The sequence below is a fragment of the Homo sapiens genome, chromosome 1, assembly GCF_000001405.40.
Source record: "Homo sapiens chromosome 1, GRCh38.p14 Primary Assembly".
NCBI lineage: Eukaryota > Metazoa > Chordata > Mammalia > Primates > Hominidae > Homo > Homo sapiens.
The window spans coordinates 223925031-223950993 of NC_000001.11; the positions used below are offsets into that span (position 1 = coordinate 223925031).

Sequence of the window (25963 nt, forward strand, 5' to 3'; positions counted from 1 at the left end):
TCAAGTCTTAGAAGCACCACTTGTCTTTTTTCAAGGGAGAGAAATGCTTAAGTGATGGGCTGAAGTGAAGGGAGGGAGTCACTCACTTAAACGGTTCCCTTAGGCTGTGTGGATGCAAACAGCATTAGACAATGACACTGACAGTGGGAAATGCACTGGAGACGATGATTGGCAAAGCCCTCCTTTTCTCCCCATCCACTATAGATACTGACAGCAAAGGGTTTGTCACAATGACAACTATACACTCCCAATATCACAGAAGAAGGAGGAATAAAAGGGTATATTATGAGTGACTGAAGTTTAGAATAAATTAATAAATATTATGTCCCTCATCCATAGAAACCACAAAGGTCTAGTAATGCTAAGGATATAACAAGAAAATAATATGAATATTTGCTTCCCCTTCCTAGTGTAATAGAGTAAGTTACAAATGGCTTCAGGAAGGGGAGAGAGGAAGAAGAGTGGATGAGATACGTAAGACTGCCTGAGGGCTAATTTTATGAAAGCTTTGGGAAGTTTTAAGAAAAAGAAAAGCTATTTTTCAAGGTACATGTGTGTATGCGTGCATGTGTGTGTGTGTGTGTGAAAGACAGAAGAAAGAGGGAGATCTAAGAAGACTATGAGACACTAAGAGAAAAATTAAGGTAAAAAAGACACACACTTAGAAAAACACACATAGGGAGGAGGGAGGAGGTTAAGACATTTTACTATGTGCTGTGAATGGAAACTACAAACCATTTTTGATATATGCAATATATATACATATATACACACATATACATATGTATTTAAAGATTTAAATTACATTTTCTCTTTTTTTAGAGATATGGTTTCACTATGTCACTCTGCCCAGGCTGCAGTACAGTGGTTGTTCACAGTCATGATCATAGCACATTATAGCCTTGAACTCCTGGGCTCAAGCAACCCTCCTGTATTAGTCTCCCCAGTAGTTGGGATTACTAGCATACGCCACCATGTCCACCTTTATGCTTTTTAAAGTGAAAAACCATACTAAGAATGAGGCAGCTCAACTTAATAATAAAAACATTTCGAATGTAAAGAAATTTACAAAAGAAAAACAATCAACCCCATTAAAATTGGGCAAAGGGAATGAACAGACACTTTTCAAAAGAATACATGCATGCAGCCAACAAACATACAAAAAAAAAGTTCAACATCACTGATCATTAGAGAAATGCAAATCAAAACCATAATGAGATACCATCTCACACCAGTCAGAATAGCTATCATTAAAAAGTCAAAAAATAACAGATACTAGTGAGGCTATGGAGAAAAGGGAATGCTTATACACTGTTGGTGGGTGTGCAAATCAGTTCAATCATTGTGCAAAGAATAGTGATTCCTCAAAGAGCTAAAAGCAGAGCTACCATTCGACCCAGTAATCCCACTACTGGGTATATACCCAGATGAATATAAACCATTCTACCATAAAGACACATGCATACAAATGTTCATTGCAGCACTGTTCACAATAGCAAAAGTATAGGATCAACCTAAATGCCCATCAATGACAGATTGGATAAAGAAAATGTGGTACATATACACCATGGAATACTATGCCGCCATTAAAAAATGATATCATGTCTTTTGCTGGAATATGGATGGACCTTCTATTATCCTTAGCAAACTAATGCAGGAACAGAAAACCAAATACAGCATACTCTCAGTTATAAGTGGTAGCTAAATGATGAGAACTAATGAACACAAAGAATAAAACAGACACTGGGGTCTACTTGAGGGTGGAGGGTGAGAAAAGGAAGAGAAGCAGAAAAGATAACTATTGGGTACTAGGTTTAATACCTGGGTGATGAAATAATCTGTACAATAACCCCCTGTGACACCAGTTTACCTATGTAACAAATGCCCCTAAACTTAAAATAAAAGTTAAAAAAAAAAAGAAAATTAAAATCTCCTTATCATCTACCTGATAATATGAAAAACACATATCTTTCATTCATTCCTTTCAACTGATGAGGAAACTGAGGCATCGGGAGTTAGTAAAAGTCCACATTGAGATATGAGACCCACCACTGGCTGGACGCAGTGGCTCACACCTGTAATCCCAGCACTTTGGGAGGCCGATGCTGGTGGATCACCTAAGGTCAGGAGTTCGGGACCAGGCTGGCCAACATGGTGAAACCCCCATCTCTACTAAAAATACAAAAATTAGCTGGGTGTGGTGGCAGGCACCTGTAATACCAGCTACTAGGGAGGCTGAGGCAGGAGAATCGCTTGAACCCAGGAGGTGGAGTTTACAGTGAGCCAAAATCACGCCATTGCACTCCAGCCTGGGCAACAAGAGCAAGACTCTGTCGGGAAAACAAAACAAAACAAAACAAAAAAACACCACCATCATTTTGCAAGTGTTACCACTATTGTGTGTTAATATTGTAGAAGTATTCCTAATTATGATTTCTTTGTATTCCTAATTGTAATAGCTTTGTATTTGAAAAATTATTGATTCATACTCTATATGTTATTATTTTGTATGCGATGACAACAGAAAATATTATCACGCTCCTTTTGTGAATCTCATTCATAATCTAAAGTACAAATTTGTGATTTTGCTTTAATTTGAAATATTAATTTCAAATATGTTATCACAATTTGAGACAAACTATTGACAGTAAATCTGTGGATTAAGTAATGTCTTAGTAGGTATTGGGAAAATTTGAAACTAGTAACATGGAGGACTATTGTCATTGTTTATTTCAAAGCCAGTTAAAATTCTGCAAAGCAGTGTAAATAAAAATAATTTCAAGAAATTTATAAAATACCGAGATTATGGTGTATAAACAACTTTAGATTCTTTGTTTAAGAAATTCTGCCAGTTTGTAATATATGCTTCATTCAAAGTAGCTAAGGGCTGTACCTGGCTAATAGTAGGCACCTAATATTTGTTGAAAAGGAATACTGAGTAGCTGGGACCTCCTGAGTAGCTGGGACCACACACATTTAACCTGTATTTATAAAATTACTGTTTAGAGAATAACATTTGATGGAATCATGCTTTTACTTTCTGCTTATGACTCAATTGTTTGTACTGACATTAACATCCCAAATCCTTAGCATGGCCTACAAGGCCCTGAGCAATGTGGCACCTGCTGAAGCCTGCTGCCTCATTTAATAACTCTTTGTCTCTTTCCCAGATCCAGCCACTCTAACATTTTTTAGTTCCTGGACCAAGACAAGCTCTTCCCAGAACCTGACCTTTGTACCTGTTCTTTATTCCTGGAGTATTTTTCCCCTGACAAATTACTTATCATCTATCATAAATCAGGTTAAATGGCACTAACTCAGGGAAGGCTTCCCTAACTGCCTCCCTTCTCCAACCAAATTAGGAACAATTATATGGCCACATAGTATCGAATCAAGTTCATAATTTTAAAACAATTGGGAGATTTTGTTGTTTAACACTTGTTTTCACTATAAGACTGTAATTACATGCAAGTAAGAACCATGCCTGTTTGTTCACTCCTGCCACAGTCAGAATAGTGCCTGGAATATGCAGTAAGGGCTGAACAAACACTAAATAAATGAACAAGTGAATAAATGGATATTGTCTCATTTTTAGAACAGAATACTAAATGGATCATGAACACTATCTGGTATGTCACGTAGGTAATTTACAAGGGCTACAATTTCAGCTCAGATTTACCTTTTCCTGGATACAGGTCTTGATAGGTCTCTTGATGTCATTTCACTTCAGATTCTTCTTTAGAAAACTTGGACAATAGCATTTGCTGTCTTGTCCAAATTGTTACTAAGAATCAAGAGAGATATCTGACATGAAATGACACTGGAAAACATTAAACACGATTGAAATAATGCTAGCCAATATGGTTATTATTAGAAACCAATTACATTTTCAACTTAAAAATAGTAATACTTATTGCAGACTCAAATGTGCTTATTCTAAAACAAGTAAATGTTTGCCTATGGTCTGAGATTCTAATCCACGGAGTTCATTCTAATCCACATTCAACACTATCATGTACCAGTGGGCCTCATAACCCACCTAGCCCTGTGATTTTTCAGGTTCACTTTTCTAAACTTGTGAATTAAATATTTATTTTCTTAGTTCAGAAGAGGAAAAAAACTCTTGTAATTGTTGCCCATTTCAGGAGAAATCTTGCATATGAAAACAAGAGATAAATATACACAACTGAGGGCTGTGGTTTAAACAAAATCTTGAGAATGTTTTTTGACCTTATACATTTGTGCTTTAGTATAACAAAATGATATAGACAAAGGTAACTTTTAATAGAACCAGTCACTAAATTAAAAAAATGACAAATTCTTCTGCTTAGCTAAGGAACAGAGAAGGTAAAATACTAATTCAATTCATCAATTTAAGCAATACTCATTAAGAGCCAAGTATGTGCTTACTGAATAAGCTGCTAAGGTTTGGTGGTTACAGAGTGTGCGGTGAAATGATGTCTACATCACAGTCCAACATTCACAGAGTTTAAAAGCCTACCAAGAATCAAGACAGACACAAATACCTAACATAGACGTTTGTATGTGATAAGAGAGCCAGAGTACAATTTAGGAGAAGAAATTGTATGGAAGGAAGGTTCATTTCCATTAGACCAGAAAAGACAGCACATTTGAAGGCCTGAATAAGAAATATTCTGGATAAGATATTGTGGCTGCTACCAGAATGGCTCTTGATGATCTCTACCTCTTGGTATTTATACCCTTATATAATCTCTTTCCTATAGTATAAGCTGGTCCCAGGTACTTGTTTCTATTGAATAGAATAGAACAAAAGTAATGAGATGCCACTTCTGAGATTAGATTATAAGATACTGTGAATTTCATCTTGTGCCCTCTCCCTCTCTCTCTTTCTCTTGCCCTCTCATTTGAATGAAGCCAACTGGCATGCTGTCAGTGGCCCAGTGTAAGTCCTGTTACAAGAAATTGATGATTACCTGTAGCCAACCCTAAGTGAAGAACTGAGGTCCTCAGTCCTACAAATGGAGAGAAACTGAATCTAGCTAAGAACCATGTGAGTGAGCTGGGAAGAAGATCCACCCTCAGTTGAAATTTAAGATGACATATTGAGCAGACATACTGAGACACACTGAAAGTAAGAGAGCAGGAGGAAACAAAACCAGGGTCATACAAAGAACACAACTGATTTTGAGATTCTCACATAAGTATTACACCTTCAGTGAGCACGTGTACTATAAATTAAAAAAATAAATAAAATAAACCTTCAAAGAGAGCTAGCAAATAAATTTCCCTATGGTCTCAGCTCTGAGTGGAGAGAGAAAATGTTCCCTGTGGAGTTTATAGCCAGAATCCAGCTCTCAAACAGGTTTCAGCCTGAACTCACACAATCTGTGTGGCTTCCAAATTTGCAAGCTGAGAATTTAATTCAAAGTGGTCTCAGGTTGATAGCAGTCCAAAATGCTAGGTAGGAAAAAAAATCCTCTCTGGACAAATAAATCATCAAAGCAAGCTCATAAGAGCAGGTTTCAAAGGTCATGAGCTTCTAACACACACACAAAAATCACACACACAAAATGCGGGTAGCAGCAACATGGGTAGCGTATTCAAACTTGAAAAGACTTTAAATATTTGTATTATTAGATGTAGATTATGAAACACATATTTTAATGTGGTTAATTTTTTTAAGGAATCAAAACTATGAGTAAAGACCAAGAAAATTGTGCTGGATGGCCACTTCCACCATGGCTCCCCTCCTATTTAAGTCTGGGTACTGTGTCACCCGAAGTCTTCAGGCACATTGTTCCAGGTTTGGGTTTGCCTATGAAAGAAACTCATGAGAGCTGGAAGTGAGGAGTGAAGAGGAGGTCTTCACATAAAGCAGGCTTAAGGATTAGACATAGCAGGTTTGACAGATGTGATGGCTTGCAGAATTCTTTATGAGCTCCCACTGTCCATCTGGATAAGATTTACAGACCTTTCAGAAATTCCTATAAGCTTGGGTTCTGTGCCCACACTCTAGACTGTCAGGCTAAGATCTCTGATATAAAACAGACCTCTTCTGATTTTGTCTAGCTGCTTTTCTAATATCTATTCACCAAGCTCTTCCAATAATAGCATAAGGCCCTAATTAATATTAAACTTTTATCATTATAATACATAGGATGTCTTCTGTTTTCCTGATCAAATTCTGACTACTATTAAAATATAAAGAATTGTCCAGAAATATATAAAAAAAGAATCACACATTGATCTTCTTTAAATGAAAATATAAAAATTGTATGGACTAGGATGATTACAGTTGTTCAGTTCTGACTGTTATTTGAAGAAAAAAGCAATAAGAAGCCTCAGCAACTTAACAGAAGGAGCTGCCATTTACTAGGAGAAAAGATTGTGGATGAGAGTGTAGCAAAGGTCAGAATTCTGTGAAGCTTGAGATGTCTATTATAATGAATTATCTTTTATACTCACTACAATTTCCTAACAATTTTGGGGTTTATATTTTTGAAAGAGATATACCTTTAATTTTCTTTCTTTGTACTATTGTTAGGTAACTTTAATGTGCAGATTATACTACAGCGAAAGTTGCCAATGACAAGGCAAAGTCACTTACATCAGACCCAAAGCAAAGTGGAGCCAGGTCATGAAAAAGGGGATCTTGTGTGTGTGTCCATGATAAGCACTATCACAAGGACTTTCTATAAACTCACAAGAAATTTCTGCCCACCCAGCACACTCTGTTTGTCCAGCTCATCCTGTAGGTGTCTCTATAATAGGACCTATCATAAAAAATTTCTCAAGACTGCAGCATTTCAGATAAGCCACCCTCACAAGAACACTTGCCTAGCAATGGCTGTTTCTGCCAGTAAGTTAACACCAGCTCCTGCATCAGGCCCTGTGACCAATGATGTTTGTTTCAAAACAGCTTGCATAGACTTCTTTTTGTCTTTAAATATTTTCCTTAACTCAACCTCTTGGGATGCACCTATGATTGATCATAGCACAAATATCTCAGATTATAATCCTTGTTTATTTCCAAATAAATTTATTTCTTTGGAGATCCACTTTTTCTGTTATTATACATTGACATTGTTATCATGAAATTGGTTGGGTGATGTGTCTTATTTTCTTGTCTCCAGAAGAATTTCTGTAACAGTGCAATTAAACGTTCTTTGCATGTTTGCTAGAACTCACCTGTAAAATTGTCTGAGCAACCAAAGCCTGGTTTTTGTGTTTAGTTTTTCTTTTGTGATTGGGGAGGGGGGTTTATCATACTGACTCAAGGCGTGAAGGTTACATCATTTTGATTTTATACATCTTCTTCAGTCCATTTAAGCATGTTACATAGCGTTGTTTGTTCTTTTCATGATATTCTTTACAGTAGTCTCCTAAATGTTCCCTCTGCTTCTGCCATGAGCCCCTACAATCTATTTCAACTCAGAAGCTATAGAGTTTGTTTAAAACATGTAACATATTATGCCACCTTTCTTACTGTAAAACATCCCATGGTTTCTTGTAGTATTTATAGTAAAAGTGAGATTTTTATGATGGCTTGAGAAACTTTTCCCATTAGATGCCCAAGTGCTGGTCTGGTCTGATCTTCTCATCTTCCCTTGGGTGATTCTGTGGCAGTCACACTAGCCTCCTTGCTGCTCCACAAAAACTCCAGCATGATCCTACTTCAGGATATTTGCCATTGTTACTGCATCTGCCTGGAACCTTTTCTCCCATATAAACATAGAGATTGCTCTTGCCTGTCCTTCAAGTCTATTCTTAAATGTCCCATTCTCTGTGAAGCTTTCCTGCCCACCCTATTTAAATTACAGACTTCACTCCCAATTCCCCATCTACTTTAAGAGTCTTCATTTATCATTCCTTGACAAACTGTAAATATACATGTTCACTTTTTTATCGTCTGTCTCCAAATACTGGAATGTTAAGTTCTGTAATGTCAGATATTTCTGTTTGGTTCACTGGTGTATTCTTAAAGCATGTTACATACTAGGTATACTCAATGAATATTTGTTGAATAAATATCACATTGGGCTTATTCCAGAAATTCAAGCTTGTTTCAATAGTTAGAGCAATCTACAAATGTAATTCATTACATTAACTAATTAAAGGAGCTAAATCACATCACCACCACAATAATGCAGAAAAACACATTTGATACAACTCAATATTCATGTCTGCCTAACAAACATCTCATGATACTAGGAAAAGAGGAAGGGATATATTATTTTCATGTATAAAACACTAACCATTGTAGCATGCCAATATACTCAAAATTCAATGAAATTCCTATCAAAATCTTAGCATTCCTCTTAGTCCTCAACAAAGCATTTCTAAAATGTGTATAGAAGACCAAAGGGCCAAAAGAGTCAACTTCTGAAGAAGTGGAAAAAGAAAGTTGAGGAAATCTTAAAACATGTTATTGAGCTTAAAGTTGCAAAAATAAACTCATGTACCATAATTCATGAGTAGAAAAATAGACTAGTGGAATAACATAAAAATAAAAACAATGCTTACATAAAATGTTGTAACTGATTTGGATGTCATTAGAAATCAGTAAGTAAATAGATGGACAATGTAATGAAAGATGCTAGGCAAATAATGTGGTAGGGAGAATAATGGCCCTCAAAGATGCCCATGCCTAACCCTGGAACCTGTGAATATGTTACACTGAATGCAATAAAGGCTTATCAGATGTGATTAAGGATGCAAACCGAGATGGAGAGATCTTCCTGGGTTATCCAGATGGGCCCAGTCTAATCACATGAGTTCTTAAAAATGGAGAACCTTTCTTAGCTGAGTCCAGAGAGAGATGTGACAATGAAAGAATGGTCAGAGAAATGTGACATTGCCAGCTTTAAAAAGAGAGAGGAGAGGCAATGAGAAAAGGAATGCTGATGTTCTCTAGAAGATAGAAAAGGCCAGGATATGGATTCTACCCTAGCCGCCATAAAGAAACATGCCTGTCGACAACTTGATTTTAGTTCACTAAAATTCATGCCTGATTTCTGACTTGTGTACACTGTAAGATGACAAGTTTGTGTTATTTTAGGTCACTTAGTTTGTAGAAATTTGTTACAGCAGTAATAGAACAAGTGGTTATCCATATGAGGCAAATTAGATTGGATACCTATCTCCAATAGAAATCAATTCAAGGTGAATTCCAGGAAAATACTTAAAACATTTAGATTAAAAATAAATGAGAATTTTTGTTACTTTTGGTAGGTCATAGAACCAAGAAAAACAAACATTAAGGAGGAAAAATGAACATATGACTACATCAAAATATAAAGCTTCTCTATTTGGATGATATCATAAGGTGACAAATCATAAACTGTAATATTTGCAACATATATATGAGTGAATAAATATACATTTAGAATATATATGAACTCCCAAAAATCAACAGGAAAAATAAGACATAGAACAAGCAAAATGCATAAACAAAAGAAGGCAAAACAAAAATAATGACTCATAATTATATGAAAAGAAGCTCATCTTCATAGATGAGCAGATAAATGCAAATTAAAACCACCCTGAGATGCTTTTTACATCCATGAGCCTGATAAAAGTTAGAGTCTAAAAGTAATAATTAACAAAGATGGGAAGTAACAGAAAATCTTGTCCATTACTGGTTAAAGTATAAACTGATACAGCTACTTTATAGAATATTACATTATAGAATAAAGTTGTGAGTATGTATATGCAGTGACTCAGCATCTTCATTGCTAGTATGTACTCAAGAGAAACTTACAGGAGTGGACTAGGAAGTAAATACAAAATGATTACAACATTGTTTGTTATATCAAAAAATAAAAAAGACACCCAATTTTCCAGCAAAAAAAATAAGTAAAAATAAATCCTGGTGTATTCTAACAATGGAATAATATATAGACATTAAAATAAATCAACTATTACTGTACATATGAATGTAAGTATCAGCAAAACATATTGTTTAGTGAAAAAGTAAGAAGCTGAAGAAGAATATATACAATATGGTTACATTTATATGAAGTCCAAAAACTTGCAAAATGAAGAAATGTATTTAGAAATAGATTCACATGTGAGAAAACTAGAAGAAAATTAATGAAAGGATAAAAGGGATAGCAGTAATTCTGAGTAGTTGAGGGGATTTCAATTGGAAAAAAATAGTATCATATTCTTTAAGTCAGGTAGTGGGTATTAGCATTTGTTTTACCATCGTTCTTTATTCTTGTAGCTACACTATATATTTTCAATGTATTTAATGTATTTTTTGCATAATTAAATATTATGCAATAAAAATGAGAAAACAAAAAAGTAGAAAATGATAAATTACAATAAAGAAATGGAGAAAAAATTATAATCTAGTTGAGTAATGGTATATTACATAGCTATTTTCTTAAGTAGATGTATGTACATGATGTATGCACGACTGTACATACATGTTCTTAATTATATATAAATATATGTACATATTTTTAATATAAAATACTAAACAAAGTACACCAAAATATTAGCTCCTACGTTAGTGAGATAATGTTTTGTTTTTTTGTATTTTAAGTTTTACATAGTAGGTGTATTTGTCTGTTTTCATACTGCTATAAAGAACTGCCCAAGACTGGGTAATTTATAAAGGAAAGAAGTTTAATTGGCTCACAGTTCAGCACAGCTTGGGAGGCCTCAGGAAATCTACAATCATGGCGGAAGACAAAGAGGAAGCAAGCCAGCTTCTTCGCAAGGCAGCATGAAGAAGTGCAGAGCAAAGGGGAAAGAATCCCTTATAAAACCATCAAATCTCGTGAGAACTCACTATCACAAGAACAGCACAGGGGAAACTGCCCCTATGATTCAATTACCTCCACCTGGTCTCTCCCTTGACCTGTGGGGATTATGGGGGCTATGGGGATTACAATTCAAGATGAGATTCAGGTGGGGATACAAAGCCTAACCATATCAGTAGGCATGTGTTGAATTTTAAACTCAGAGAAAAATACTAGTGTTTTTATAGGATTCTTACTAAAGAAAAAACAGAAAGTAATAAACCATCTACGCTAAGACATAAAATTCAGTTGTTTAGTTACAAGATAGAATGTGGCCTTGTAAGAAAGCAAATTAACTTCTAACATACAAAGCCTTAGAGAAGATTCAAGTGACTGACAGATCTTAAACAGAGCTATTATTACAACTCAAACTGCAGAAAAATATCCTCAGCAGCATAGATGTGTGTGTTTCACTAGTCAGAGCAATACAAATTTAATGAAACTCCATTGGTGGTGTTTTTAATCAGACAATTTCTGAAGATGTCCTGGCTTATTCATAGATGCAAGCCAAATCTCTAGAAGAGTACCATAATAAGAAAAAAAAGAATACAGGCAATTGAGAGCTGTTCCAAAGTTTAGGGAGTTTTTGTAAGGAATTAATAAATAAAAATGTTCTTGAAAGAGAGAAATTAATATGCAGTTCATACTGCCAGAATTGCAGGCAATTTATCAAACTCCCCTAATCCTCCAAAATCGCTATTTTTTTTTTGACACACACTTTATAGTACAGAAGAAAATGTCTCCGGCAATAAATCACAAAGTTAAAATTACCTAGTCTACAATTAACTAGACAGTGATGGTAAATCATTTTCTACCAAAAGAAAGAAATGTCTTGTCTATTCAGGTTCTGCTCTACTTAAAAGTTTTCCTTGTTGGCGAGCAAGTGGTTAGAAAATCATATTTTATACGTACATTCAGCTTAACTATCATTCAGCTCAGCAAGATGACTCAGGGCCTTATCCATACCTTCAAGTTTGCTCTTAGCAAGTAATTGTTTCAGTATCTATATCAAAAATGGCTTAAGTCTGCAACATGTTTCTGAATGATTAACAAGGTGATAGTCAGTTCTTCACTGAATCCTGGATGCTTTATTTTTCTTAATAAGAGGAATTCATATGGATCAGCTAGAAAAAAATTAAGAGGAAAATCACATGGAAAGTTATATATTATATATCTATTATAGATATAATATTATATATCTATTATATCTATTATATATCTATTATATATATAATAGATATTATATATCTATTATATATCTATTATATATATAATAGATATTATATATCTATTATATATATAATAGATATTATATATCTATTATATATATAATAGATATTATATATCTATTATATATAATATATATCTATTATATATTATATATCTATTATATATAATATATATCTATTATATATATTATATATCTATTATATATATAATAGATATTATATATCTATTATATATAATATATATCTATTATATATTATATATCTATTATATATATGTATCTATTATATATATTATGTATCTATTATATATAATATATATCTATTATATATATATTATATATAATATATATTATATATATTATATATCTATTATATATAATATATATCTATTATATATATTATATATCTATTATATATATTATATATCTATTATATATAATATATATCTATTATATATATTATATATCTATTATATATAATATATATTATATATATATTATATATTGTATATCTATTACATATATAATATATCTATTATATATATAACATTATATATTATATATCATTTCCAAATTCCCCAGCGTTCATATTTGTCAGTGCAAGTAAAGAGCCTTAGTGCTGATGAAGTTTGAGGTATGACCATTTGGCCAGAATTTATGAACTCTACATGTCACTTGATGTGTGCTTCAGGGTACACTTTTTTTTTTTTTTTTGAGACGGAGTCTTGCTCTGTCGCCCAGGCTGGAGTGCAGCGGTGCCATCTCAGCTCACCGCAAGCTCCGTCTCCCGGGTTCACGCCATTCTCCTGCCTGAGCCTCCTGAGTAGCTGGGACTACAGGCGCCCGCCACTATGCCCTGCTAATTTTTTGCATTTTTAGTACAGACGGGGTTTCACCGTGTTAGCCAGGATGGTCTCGATCTCCTGACCTCGTGATCCACCCGCCTCGGCCTCCCAAAGTGCTGGAATTACAGGTGTGAGCCACCACGCCCGACCAGGGTACACTTTTAAGCAGAGACACTACTTTGAAGGTCATAAAAAATATAATGAGATAAGGCTAATTTCCTTTAATAATAATAATAATAATAAAATCCTTTAATAAAAATATAAAGGAATATAATAATTTTCTTTAATAAAATATAATAAGAGATAAGGCTAATTTCCTTTAATAAAATATAGTAACTACATACCAACAGAATTCCAAAAAAAGAAATGGAGAGGAAGGGAGCATGGGTCATTAATCTTGTCAAAAATATAAAATTATATACGAGGAATTCCTAGAAACTGTTTTCCTTGTCTGCGGCCATTGTGCTGCTGCTACATAACTACCGCAAGCAGCCCTTCACGCCCTCCTCCCAGTACAAAGCTAATTGACTTGTGAGAAATGTTAAGCTTGGAAGAGTCAGCATCGCTGCACTTATTTTTTATTCTACTCTGACATTAGAATAATCCTTGAGTGGGGGAAAGCTTAAAAACCCCCCTGGATAAGTGTTACTAATTAATGATGATTGTTTTAAACAATGTTTGGATAATTTTTCCTTGTCCCTTAACATAAACTTGATAAATAACTGAGAAGTGAGAAGGAGATTAGTGGGTTGATTAAATTCCATTCAGGTACTTAAAGTCAGCTCCAAAAATTTAGCTATTTATAAATTGTCATGCATTGTTAATGTATAAGAGATGCAGATTTCATTTATCTTTGGTGGAGCGAGATGAAGCAGTGAATCATTGAAGACTGAAAGAAAGAAAAAGGTCTTTTCCCTTTTCTTTAAGAAGCATCATTAGTTAAAAACATGTTAGTTGATACCAGAGAACTATATTTAAAGGGACAGCAATAAGCAAATTGATTACTCTGGTGATTATTGGAGTGACATTGCCTTTTAGTTGTACTTTCACAAAAATTCACAATATTTGCCAAAGTCAAGTTATCCATTACACTATTAATTTGTCATTCTTTTGTTTATATAGTCAATATCTCTATCTCAATTGGATCTCAACTGCTTCTAAACAAGCCACCATAGTCTCTCCCATTTCAACAATCTCTTCCAAGTACCATTTCATTTCTTCTTTTCATATTTTTGAAAACTTTTGAAAAACTACCTATTTTCCTCCTCCATTTCTTGTTCATTCCATTCTAGTGGACATGGAATCTGTTCCTCCTCCAAAACGGAATTTGGTAACCCTTAAATTACTAAACCCAAAACAATATGTTGTTTTTATCTTTACCTCTCTGTGGCATTTAATGATAAGACCACTACTTTCTTCTCTTTTACCCTTCTTTCTTGAATTCAGTCAAACAACGTACTTACATTTTTCGTCTTATTCTCCATCTTAGAAACCACCTCAGCTTTCTCCATTCAGCCATAAAATTGTGCTTTTCCTCAAAGATTAATCTGCCTCTCCTCTCACTCTATACTATCTCTGTTAGCTAATTTTATTTGTGCACATTGCTTATACTGGGCATTATATACACATATGCATGTGTGTACATGTGCACACACACACTGTATGTGGACATGTATATATATGTGTGTGTGTATATATATATAGTATATATATAAATTACAATAACATAAAGGTGGCATTTTAAATTAGTGGAAATTACCCTGATTTGATCACTACACATTCTATACATGTAAAGAAATATCACTCTGTATCCCAAGAATATGTACAATTATGGTTTGCCAAATGAAAAAGTTCATACATTGAAAAATTTTAGATAAATATCAAACTTTCTCTGAAACTGTAACTGTAAAATGTAAAAAACAGTAATTGCTATATTGCTTATTTCTGAGTAGAATATGAGACATTTCCCTAATCATTATGTGTAATTACAATTACATATATATGTATGTAATATATAAACATATATATATGTAATTGTAATTACACATAATGATTAGGGAAATGTCTCATATTCTATATATATAGACAGAAAGAGAGAAAATATATGAGGGAGAGAAAGAATCTTTCCATCTCCTTTGAGTTCCACGGTGTTGAGAGTCAGGACAACTACAATTGCTTCATCATGCCTGCTTGCAATTATAGGGCTTTTGAACCATTTGTTCCCTCCTTAGATATCCTCATTTTTTTCAGATTCTTGCTTAGAAGTCACTCCTCCGTGGACCTCCTCTGACATATTAAACATTGCAGTCCATTATAAGCTGCAAGAGGACAGGGATTTTTGCCTGTTTTATTCCCTACTGTATCACCAGGGGCTACAGCAATATCTGACAAACAGTGGGCATGTAATGCATATTTGTTAAGTGAAGTAATAAATTCAATCAAATCACATCACCTGTTTAAAGCACTTCATTGGCTTCACATTGCACTTAGAATAAAGAGAAATTCTTTTTATACAATATAAGTTCCTGCAGAATGCAGACACTTTCTACTTCTCCAGCCTCTTTTCAACTCCTCTCCTACTGGCTTCTGTATTTAAGCCACATTAGACCTTTCTTCAGTTTTTTATATAGACTTTGTTGCATCACACCTCAGAGATTCTGTACATGTTCTTCCTCCTGCCTAGAAAGGATCGTCCCTCCACTTTCGCCAACTAATCCCTGCTCAACTTTTCATCTCAGCAGGAGGCCCATTCTCTTTGGCAATCCTCTGGCCTCCAGCCCATTTATTATATACTCACATGTCAACATGTACTTCGTACAGCATGTAACACAATTGCACTTTTATATTTTAACAAATTATATTTCCCACATTGAACTGTAAGTCTCCTGAAAGGAGGAATTTTGTTCTTGCTCATCATCAACTTTTTCAACATCCAGTGCACCATTTAGAACTTAGATGTAGTCAATACAGGTTTGTGGAATGAAAGAGGAAAAGAAAGAATTAATATTCCTTTAAATTAGGATGGCAAAGATCGTATATAGAAAATTGGCTAAGTTGTGGTCCATTCATGTTTGCTCCAAATTAAGGAGCACAGCTATGAAAAGGAAGGCTTCAAATTAATAACCAATAGATTTTTTAAAAAAGAAAACTGGCCAGGTACTGTGGCTTATGTCTGTAATATAGCATGTTGGGAGGCCAAGGCAGGATTACTTGAGCCCAGAAATTCCAGACCAGCCTGAGAATTTGGCAAAACTCTGTCTCTACAAAAAATACAAAAATTAGCCAAGTTTGGTGGCATGTGCCTGTAGTACCAGCTACTTGGGAGGCTGAGGTGGAAGAATAGCTTGAGTCTGGGAGGTCAAGGCTGCAATGAGCTGTGATCGCACCACTGCACTCAAGCCTGGGTGGTAGAGTAAGACCCTGTCTCAAAAAAAAAAAGAAAAAGAAAAATCACTAAGCAAAATAAGACATGTGAAGGATCATGTCAAAGGTAAGAAAAATTAGGGGAACATTAAAAGCTTTCTTCCCAAGCCACTAAATCAACTTGACTAACAAAATTACCACTTGATTTAGCATTAGAAAATTACATTACATATCAAACATAAACCCATTAATCAAATACTAAAGAAATTTCTGAGTTAAATGGTATAATGTTAGCTTATGCCAGAGCTGACCTTGAAAGATTGTTCAAATATGGCTCAGTGTGATTGAAAGTTCTGTGTGAATATGTTTTTGGAAAGATCCAACAGCAACACCTTAGTGTATGTTTTTGAAATAAAATGTATCCGAGTAGCAGCAAAGTTATTCTCAAATTTCCATTTTATAGCTGGAGATGTTATACCGTGACATATATGATAGGACCCAATATGGATTAATCCCTTTTAGAAGTCAATCAGGAAGAGGGGAGCAGTTAAAACAGTTGCTTGGTTTACAAACAGTAGAACAATTTTCCTATTCACACCATCTGATTATTGTATTTTATTTTTTCCCCAACGTTTAGACTACACAACGAGTTAAGAATGATAAAAATAAGCTCACCAATATACTATGTACATATTTACCAAAATCTGTGCATGCTTATACATATAAACACAGCTGATAATTTATTAGTTAGGCTCATTTGTAATTTTTGTCACTATAGACCAGTTTTTTATTTAAATTGAAGATTAGTATACATTTTAAATGATTAGTCAAAATAAAAAATCTAAAATGTGCTCTAAATACCTCTTAGGTCAGAAAAAAAAAAGTCAAAAGCTAGAATATAGAGAAATTAAGAAATGCCCTAAATTTCTAATCTGACAAAAATTCATACGAGATTTAAATATTTTAATGGAAAATAGAACAGAACTAATCATTGAAGAAATTATAGAAAGGAAACAAAATAAACAGATTATATGGAGGATTTTTAGAAGATAAATAAATTAATATACTAGGAAAAAACAAGGGAAATATAATTGATAAATAAATACAGGTAAGAGTTCTTTTGAAATAATGATAAAATAGAAAATCTCTGTCAAAACTAAAAGGAAAGATGCATAAATATATAAATAAATGATAAAACGATGTTGCATACATATATGACTTTTTCAGAATCAAAAAATTTAAATTTCTGTAATAAAATTTAAATGTTTATAAATTTAAAAAACTAGAAGAAAGAATGTTGACTGTTCACAATACAAATAAATGACAAATATTTGAGGTGATGGATATGCTAATTATCCTTATTTGATCATTGGACATTGTATACATGTATCAAAATATCACTCTGTATCCCATGAATATGTACAATTATTTGTCTCAAAAACAAACAAACAAAAGATAATGGGAGAATGTTGAAAGCTCAGAGAGAAGAGCAACTCTCACAGATAGGGATCCAGATAATATTAGCAGCTGATTTCTTGGCAGAAACCTTGAAGGCCAGTAGGCAGTGGATTGTATATTTAAAATAATGAAGAAACCTGTCAATTGAGAAATCTATAGCTGGAAAACTTATCCTTCAAAAATGAGGGAGAAATTAAGACATTTCCAGATTTTTTTTTAAAACTGAAAAAAAATCCATTTATCCCTGAATTTGCCATTCAAGAAGTGTTAAGTCCTTCAGGTTGAAATAAATGAACTCTAGGTAATAACTATATAAGTAAATAAGCAAGCTGTATGAATATACAAAGCTCTCTGGTAAAGGTAAATACATAAACAAACGTAAAAACAGTCCTATTGTAATTTTGGTTTCTAACTCTGCTTTTTATTTTCTACATAATTTAAAAGGCAAATGCATAAAATGTAATTGTAAATCTGTTAGCTGGTATACAATGAATAAAGATATAATTTGTTACATCAATAACATAAAAAGAGTAGAGCTATATGTATAGCAGTAGAATTTTGGTATGTGATTGAACTTAAGTTGAAATAAATTCAAATTAAAATGTTATAACTCTAGGATGTTATATGTAATTCTCATAGTAACCAAAAACGAAATATACATAGAATATAAACAAAAGGAAATGAGACTAGAAACAAAATGTGTCACTACAAAAAAATCAACTAAAGATAAAAAAGAAATAATTGAGAAAATGGCAAAAATCAGTAACTCTGACGTATTAAAACTTTCCATGCTACATAAATCTGAAAACTCTATTTCACATAAAACTGGAGCTGAAAGAGACAAATATTTACCTATAAAGTTAAAAGTTATATAGGGAACAAACACTAATTTTTTTTAGAAAAAATTATAAAAAGAGTAAAAATATGCCTTATACTACCCCAATTTCATGTTTTACAGCTCTGGGAAAATAGAAAATAAAATGTTCTGTTAGCATGAATCCCTCTGTGCCCCCAAAAAACCCTATGGATTGCATCATTATTACCTAAAAAGTCTATTGTCAAATGCAGCAGAGTGATATTTTTTACAAGGTAGATATTAATTTTAGATATGGAATAATATTGGTGATTTCAATTTTATAACACTGGGTTAAGATGAAAGAATGAGAAGATAAAGGTCCCTCAGCAATATAACTCACAAACATGTTCAGAAGCAGTAAGAACTTACATTAATTATCTTTTGAAAGTCAATAATCTACATCTTTAATGTATGCATATAGCATAGCTAATGTACTATCGCTGGGTCCATTTATTCAATGAATAATTGCCGCTATGTGTCAGACATTTTTCTAGGCCTAGGAATGGATACATAAGTGAACAAAGCAAAGATTCTGGTTCTTGTAGAGTTTCCATTAAAAGACCATTTAGTAAAACTTTTCTTCCCCCAAATTATAAAATCTGTAAGATGATTTAACAACATGTGTAAAAGTCATTGTGGGCCAGGCACGGTGGCTCATACCAGGTGTGGTGACTCATAGCACTCTGTCACCCAGGCTGGAGTGCAGTGGCACAATCTCTGCTCACTGCAACCTCTGCCTCCTGGGTACAAGCGATTCTCCTGCCTCAGCTTTCTGAGTAGCAAGGACTACAGGTGCACACCATCACGCCTGGCTAATTTTTGTACTATTAGTACAGACGGAGTTTCACCATGTTGGCCAGGCTGGTCTCGAACTCCTGACCTCAAATGATCCGTCTACCTCGGCCTCCCAAAGTGCTGGAATTACAGATGTGAGCCACAATGCCCGGCCTTATTTTCTACAACTTTGGTAACTTTAGCATATACCCCAAATCTGTAAGACATAATATTATAATTCAAATGCAACTCATGGCTTCTCATTGTACTCTTTCTCTAGCTTTTGAATTATTTATTCTAATACCAGTTTTAATTCTGACACAAAAGCATGGGAGTTCTAATCAAAATCCAACCTTTTTATCATAAAAACTATGAAGAAATTATGAGTAGAACTTAAAAAGGAAAATAGGCCTATTAATTAGATTTGTCTTTGTAGCATTTAACTCTATAATAAATAACATATTTTATGCCTATGAGTACCCCAGCAAAGCCTCCAGCTTCTATTTAGATATAAAATGTAAAAGTCACTACTGGATCCACAAGCAAGACTATGGTAAAGAAATTTCTCCACCTAACCAGCTTCTTTTACATGATGTTACATGTTTCTTTTGTTTTTTCATTTTGGCAAATATTGATTGTCATCTTCGTCATCTTCGTGTTTGTCTATGTCCTAAGTGCTGGGATACAGAATCTGAAAAGATGGACACAGGACCTGCCTTCAAGTTCACCCTTTTTTTTTTTTTTTTTTTTTGAGATGGAGTTTTGTTCTTGTCGCCCAGGCTGGAGTGTAATGGTGAGATCTCGGCTCACTGCAACCTCCACCTCCAGGGTTCAAGTGATTCTCCTGCCTCAGCCTCCCAAGTAGCTGGGATTACAGGTCCCAGCCACCACGCCTAGCTAATTTTTGTATGTTTAGTAGAGACAGCATTTCATCATGTTGGTCAGGCTGGTCTCGAACTCCTAACCTCAGGTAGTCGACCCACCTCGGCCTCCCACAGTGCTGAGATTACAGGTATGAGCCACCACGCCCTGCTAGGAGTTCACGCTTTAGTTGGGGGAAAATATACAATAAGCAAGCCAATTTTTAAAAAGAGAACTGCAATTAGAGTTAAATGCTACAAAGACAATCTCACAGGAAGATGGGATGTAGAATGATAAGGCTCTCAGAATAGTAAGAGAAACTTGCTTCTTACGATGTTTGTCTTTCTTTGTATCAGTGCTCAGCTGAGTCTGCAGTGCTTCAGAGGCAGCTTTCATTTTATAAAAATCTATGATTTCTCCTTCCAGTTGTTTTTTCTCTTCCTCGAGCTTCCTTATCTCCTCCTGTTGAATCATTTTAAGATGCTCGAATTTGTCCTGCAGCTGTGAAACCAATGTGCAGTTGTGACACCAAAGCAGTGGGGCTGAACACCCAAAAGAATATGCTTTTTTCTGATTATCAAGCAAACCCAAATCATCACAGTAGAGCACGATCTTAATAACAATCTCAAAAACTCAGGAGTAAACACTCAGATATGGAATTTGTCTTTTCTTTCTTTTTTCCTTTTATAAGATGGAGTCTCACTCTGTTGCCCAGGCTGGAGTGCACTGGTGCGATCTCAGCTCACTGCAACCTCCATCTCCCAGTTCAAGTGATTCTCCTGCCTCAGCCTCTTGAGTAGCTGGGACTACAGGCATGCACCACCACTACAGGCATGTGCCACCACACCTGGCTAATTTTTGTATTTTTAGTAGAGATGGGGTTTTGCCATGTTGGCCAGGCTGGTCTCGAACTCCTGACCTCAGGTGATCCTTCCGCTTTGGCCTCCCAAAGACTTTTTTTTTTTTAAATATAGAGACAAGTTCTCAGTATGTTGCCCAGGCTGGTCTCAAACTCCTGAGCTCAAGTGATCCTCCCACGTCAGCTTCCCAAAGTGCTGGGACTGACTGGATGCAGTGGCTCATGCTTGTAAACTCAGCACTTTGGGAGGCCAAGGTGGGAGGATCGCTTGAGCCCAGGAGTTCAAGACCAGACTGGGTGATATAACACAATAGTAAACTTCAACAGGAGAGAGAATCTGTAAACTTGAATATAGATCTTCTGAAATTATCCAGTCAGAGGACAAAGAAAAAAAGAATAAAAAAGAGGAAAGAAGGCTGGGCGTGGTGGCTCAAGCCTGTAATCCCAACACTTTGGGAGGCCGAGGCAGGCAGATTAAGAGGTCAGGAGTTCAAGACCAGCCTGGCCAACATGACAAAACCCCATCTCTACTAAAAATACAAAAATTAGCCGGGTGTGGTGGCACACACCTGTAGTCCCAGCTACTTGGGAGGCTGAGGCAGGAGAATCGCTTGAACCCAGGAGGCGGAGGTTGGAGTGCAATGTGAGCCAAGACCACACATTGCACTCCAGCCTGGGTGACAGAGCACGACTCTGTCTCAAAAAAAAAAAAAAAAGAAAAAAAAAGAGACAGAGAAAAGAAAGCCAACAAGACACCATTAGGCAAACCATTGTCAGGTTATGGGAGTTTGACAAGGAAAGTAGAGAAAGGAGAAGAAAGCTTATTTAAAGAATGGCTGAAAACTGCCTAAATCATGGGAAAGATTTAGACATCTAAATCCATGAAGCTTAAAGATTCCTAAAGAGGTTCAAACCAAATAGATACTCACCAAGTCACAATATAATCAAATAGTCAAAAGTTAAAGAAACTTTGCAGGTCAGGACAGAATCGAATAATACATTCAAAGTGCTGAAAGAAAAAAACTGCCAGCAACTAATACTATGTCTGACAAAGCTGTCCTTCAGAAAGAAAGAAGAAATAACATGTTTCCTCGACAAACAAAGCTCAGGGCATTCAGGACCAGTAGGTCTACCTTAAAAAAATGCTTAAGGGAGTTTTTCAAGTAAAAATGAATGAAGTTGGGAGCGGTGGCTCATGCCTGTAATCCCATTTTGGGAGGCCGAGGTGGGTGGATCACCTGAGGTCAGGAGGTCAAGACCAGCCTGGCCAACATGGCAAAACCCCACCTCCAGTAAAAATACAAAAAATTAGCCAGGTATGAAGGCCACTGAGATCGTGCCACTGCACTCCAGCCTGGGTGACAAGAGTCAAACTACATTTCAAAAACAAAAAACAAAACAAACAAAAAAAACAAAACTTGAGGCCTGGCCTTCTGCTCCTCTCCAACCTCCCCTTCTCTGGGCCCAAGCCACCTTGGCTGAGGAGGGGGCGAGGAGGTGTGAGCCCCTGCCAGGAACCCCCTGCCCGGACCAAGTACTCGGCCCCCAGGCCTGCGTTCAGTGAGGCCTCCCGTGGCGTCAGCATGTTCGTGTGGAGGAATGTGGAAGTTCACTCTGTGGCCATGTTCCCCTGGTACTCCATCCCCTTCCTGACCCCTCCCTGCAGCCACACGAGGCCCAGCAACCTGCCAGTCACTCAGTGGCCTCCAACCAGAGAAAACAACCTGCCAAGTTGGCAGCTGTTGCTCATGAGTGTCCACCAGGTGGGACAGGGAGCGTTGACCCTGGGCGGCCCCCTGGAGCCACCTGCCCTGAAAGCCCAGGGCCCGCAACCCCACACACTTTGGGGGTGGTGGAACCTGGTAAAAGCTCACCTCCCACCATGGAGGAGGAGCCCTGGGCCCCTCAGGGGAGTCCCTGCTGGACAGTGACACAGAGAATGACCATGATGATGCTTTCCTCTCCATCATGTCTCCTGACACCCAGTTGCCTCTACCGCTCAGATGATGTCAGGCCCAGTCCCTCATTGCCCCGCGCAAGGAACAGGACTCATCTTCTGAGAAGGATGGACGCAGCCCCAACAAATGGGACAAGGACCACATCTGGTGGCCCATGAGTGGCGGTCATGATCTTGAGCAAGCGGCACCAGGCCCTGGCAGGGCGCACCAGGGTCACCCCAACCAGGATAACCGGACCATCAGCCAGATGCTGAGCGAGCGGTGGTACATCCTGGGGCCCAATGAGACACAGAAATACCATGACCTGGCCTTCCAGGTGAAGGTGGCCCACTTGCAACAAGGACCGAAAGAAGTCCAGCTCAGAGGCCAAGCCCACAAGCCAGGGGCTAGCAGGAGTGTAACAAGGGCTCGTGGGAGCGGAGCATATCAGAGACAGGCACTGCCACTGCCCCTGGGGTGTCCTCTGAACTCCTGTCAGTTGCAGCCCAAACACTCCAGAGCTCAGATACCAAGGAGCAGCTTCTGTGGGGCAGAACGGCTGCACACAGTCAGGAAACCTGGCTCAGCCTGGCCCAAGCCTTCTCCCACAGCGGGGTACACAGCCTGGAAGGCAGGGAAATAGACCGTCAGGCACTACGGGAACTGACACAGGTAGTGTCTGGCACTGCATCATACTCTGGCCCAAAGCCTTCTACTCAGTATGGAGCTCCAGGCCACTTTGCAGCCCCTGGTGAGGGAGGTGACCAGTGGGCAGCCCTGCTGCTGCCCACCTGAGCTGCTCATTCCCAGCACATGGCCAGTGAGGACATAGCGAGTGACGAGGAGCACACGGTCATCCATGAGGAGGAGGGGGTGATGATGTCATTGCTGATGATGGCTTTAGCACCACTGACACCGATCTCAAGTTCAAGGAGTGGGTGACCGACTGAGAGTGGGGACAACTCTGGGGAGGAGCCAGAGGGCAACAAGGGCTTTGGTGGGAAGGTATTTGCACCTGTCATTCCTTCCTCCTTTACTCCTGCCGCCCCCTTGCTAGATCCTGAGCCCCCAGGGTCCCCCGATCCACCAGCAGCTTTTGGCAAAGTCTATGGTCCCACCCTGTCCTCCTCCTACACATACTCGGATGCTTCCCCCTCAACCTTGGCACCCACCTCCTTCTTACTGGGCCCAGGAGCCTTCAAAGCCCAGGAGTCTGGTCAAGACAGCAGAGCGGGCCCCCTATGACCCCTACCCCTGGGGATGGGGGCCCAGGGACGCCTTCCAAGGTGACCTGTTTCCTCCCAATGGATCCTGCCACCTTCTGGTGCAAGAGACCAGAAAGTGTGGGCGACCTGGAGCTACCAGGCTCCTCAGTCATCAGGGTCCCTCCCAACACTAAGGCTTTCCTAGGCAGGAGCTGGGCTGAGCCACCCGGGGGGCAGAGCCTGAAGAGAAACTGACTGGGCTTTCGGGGTCAGGGCAGAGGGAACCCCACGGACATGGATCCCCCACACTGGAGGACCCCACCACGCCCAAATGCAAGATGAGAAGATGCTCCAGCTGCAGTCCAAAGCCCAACACCCCCAAGTGTTCCATGTGTGATGGGGACAGCTTCCCCTTTGCCTGTACAGGTGGAGAAGCCGAGGACAGGCTCAGGGAACCGGAGACCGAGAAGGCGCTGTCCTCTTCACTGCACGTGCCCTGGACCAGTGCCGGCCCTGATCATGCAGCTCTTCCAGGCCCACTGCTTCTTCCTGTCCACTAGGCCACAGCCACCCTCCAGGCCCACTATGCACACATCTTCCCCTCCAAGGTTTGTTCTGCCCCTGCCCTGACTCCCAGCCCTGTGGGGGTCCTGACCGCACCTCACCTGGCTCAGACTCTTGACGCTGCCCTGGCTGCCCCACCACTGCCTCTGCCCGAGAGTCACGTGAGGCTGAGAGTAGGGGCAGGGGCAGCAGTGGTGCCAGTCGGGGGGCGGTCCAGTGGGAGGAGCCTCAGCCTCACGGGCTGCTCCGTGGGACTGATGACTGCATGATCTTCTGGGCACCTCACGGATCTTCAACTGCAGGTGAAACGGATGCTGGTGGTGGGTGCAGGGCCGCTGGGAGCTGCTGCGTGGTTCCCAGAGGCTGGACTGGGGCAGGTGCCAACTGAAGCTGCTGGGGCAGCATGGGCAGGATGTTCTGCACACAAACCTTGGAGAAGATGTGTGCATAGCGGGTCCACTGCTGCTGCCCCTGCCCTGACTCCCAGCCCTGCCTGACCCCACCTCAATCTGCTCAGGCTCTGGCGCAACCCTGGCTGCCCTGCCACTGCCTCTGCCCCAGAGTTGGGGCCTTGACAGCCTGGTTGGAAGGGGACACCCCAGCCCTGCCTCAACACCTGGGGGTCTCCATAACTACCACAGGCAGGTGGGCAACCCCAAAGATCCCAGGACTCACAGTACCCCTTGAGAACATGGACAGTATGTGAGGGTAGCAACGGAGGGCAGGATGGTTATCTTCTCCCAGGTAAAGCCATTTAATCCTTTCAGTTTGGGACGGAGTAAGGCCTGCCTCTTTTTTTTTTTTTTTTTTTTTTTTTGAGACCGAGTCTTGCTCTGTTGCCCAGGCTGGAGTGCAGTGGTGCAATCTTGGCTCACTGCAACCTCTTCCCGCTGGGTTCACGCCATTCTCCTGCCTCAGCCTTCCGGGTAGCTAGGATTACAGGTGCACACTACCACGTCCGGCTAATTTTTGTATTTTTAGTACAGACGGGGCTTCATCATCTTGGCCAGGCTGATTTCGATCTCCTGACATCGTGATCTGCCTGCCTCCCCCTCCCAAAGTGCTGGGATTACAGGCGTGAGCCACCACGCCTGGCCAAGGCCTGCTCCTCTTATCTATACCCCCTACCCCTGCAGCTGTGCCGGGGGAAAGCTGGGCAGTTTCCCTCCTCCGAGCCCCTGTACATACCATGAATTGTGGGACCTTCAGAGCTTTTCACTTTT

General features: G+C 38.2%; 2 pseudogenes, besides 1 other annotated feature; one reads left to right on the top strand and one right to left on the bottom strand.

Annotated features, from left to right (window-relative positions):
- Window positions 18084-20678, bottom strand: SEPTIN14P15 (septin 14 pseudogene 15; annotated as a pseudogene).
- On the top strand, window positions 22528-24363 carry CICP5 (capicua transcriptional repressor pseudogene 5; annotated as a pseudogene).
- Window positions 23571-24070: an enhancer, noted in NCBI's record as "H3K4me1 hESC enhancer chr1:224136303-224136802 (GRCh37/hg19 assembly coordinates)". NCBI's record gives its function as "activates a minimal SCP1, AML or CMV promoter by ChIP-STARR-seq in naive H9 embryonic stem cells {active_cell/tissue: H9 hESC(naive)}" and the evidence as "EXISTENCE:reporter gene assay evidence [ECO:0000049][PMID:30033119]".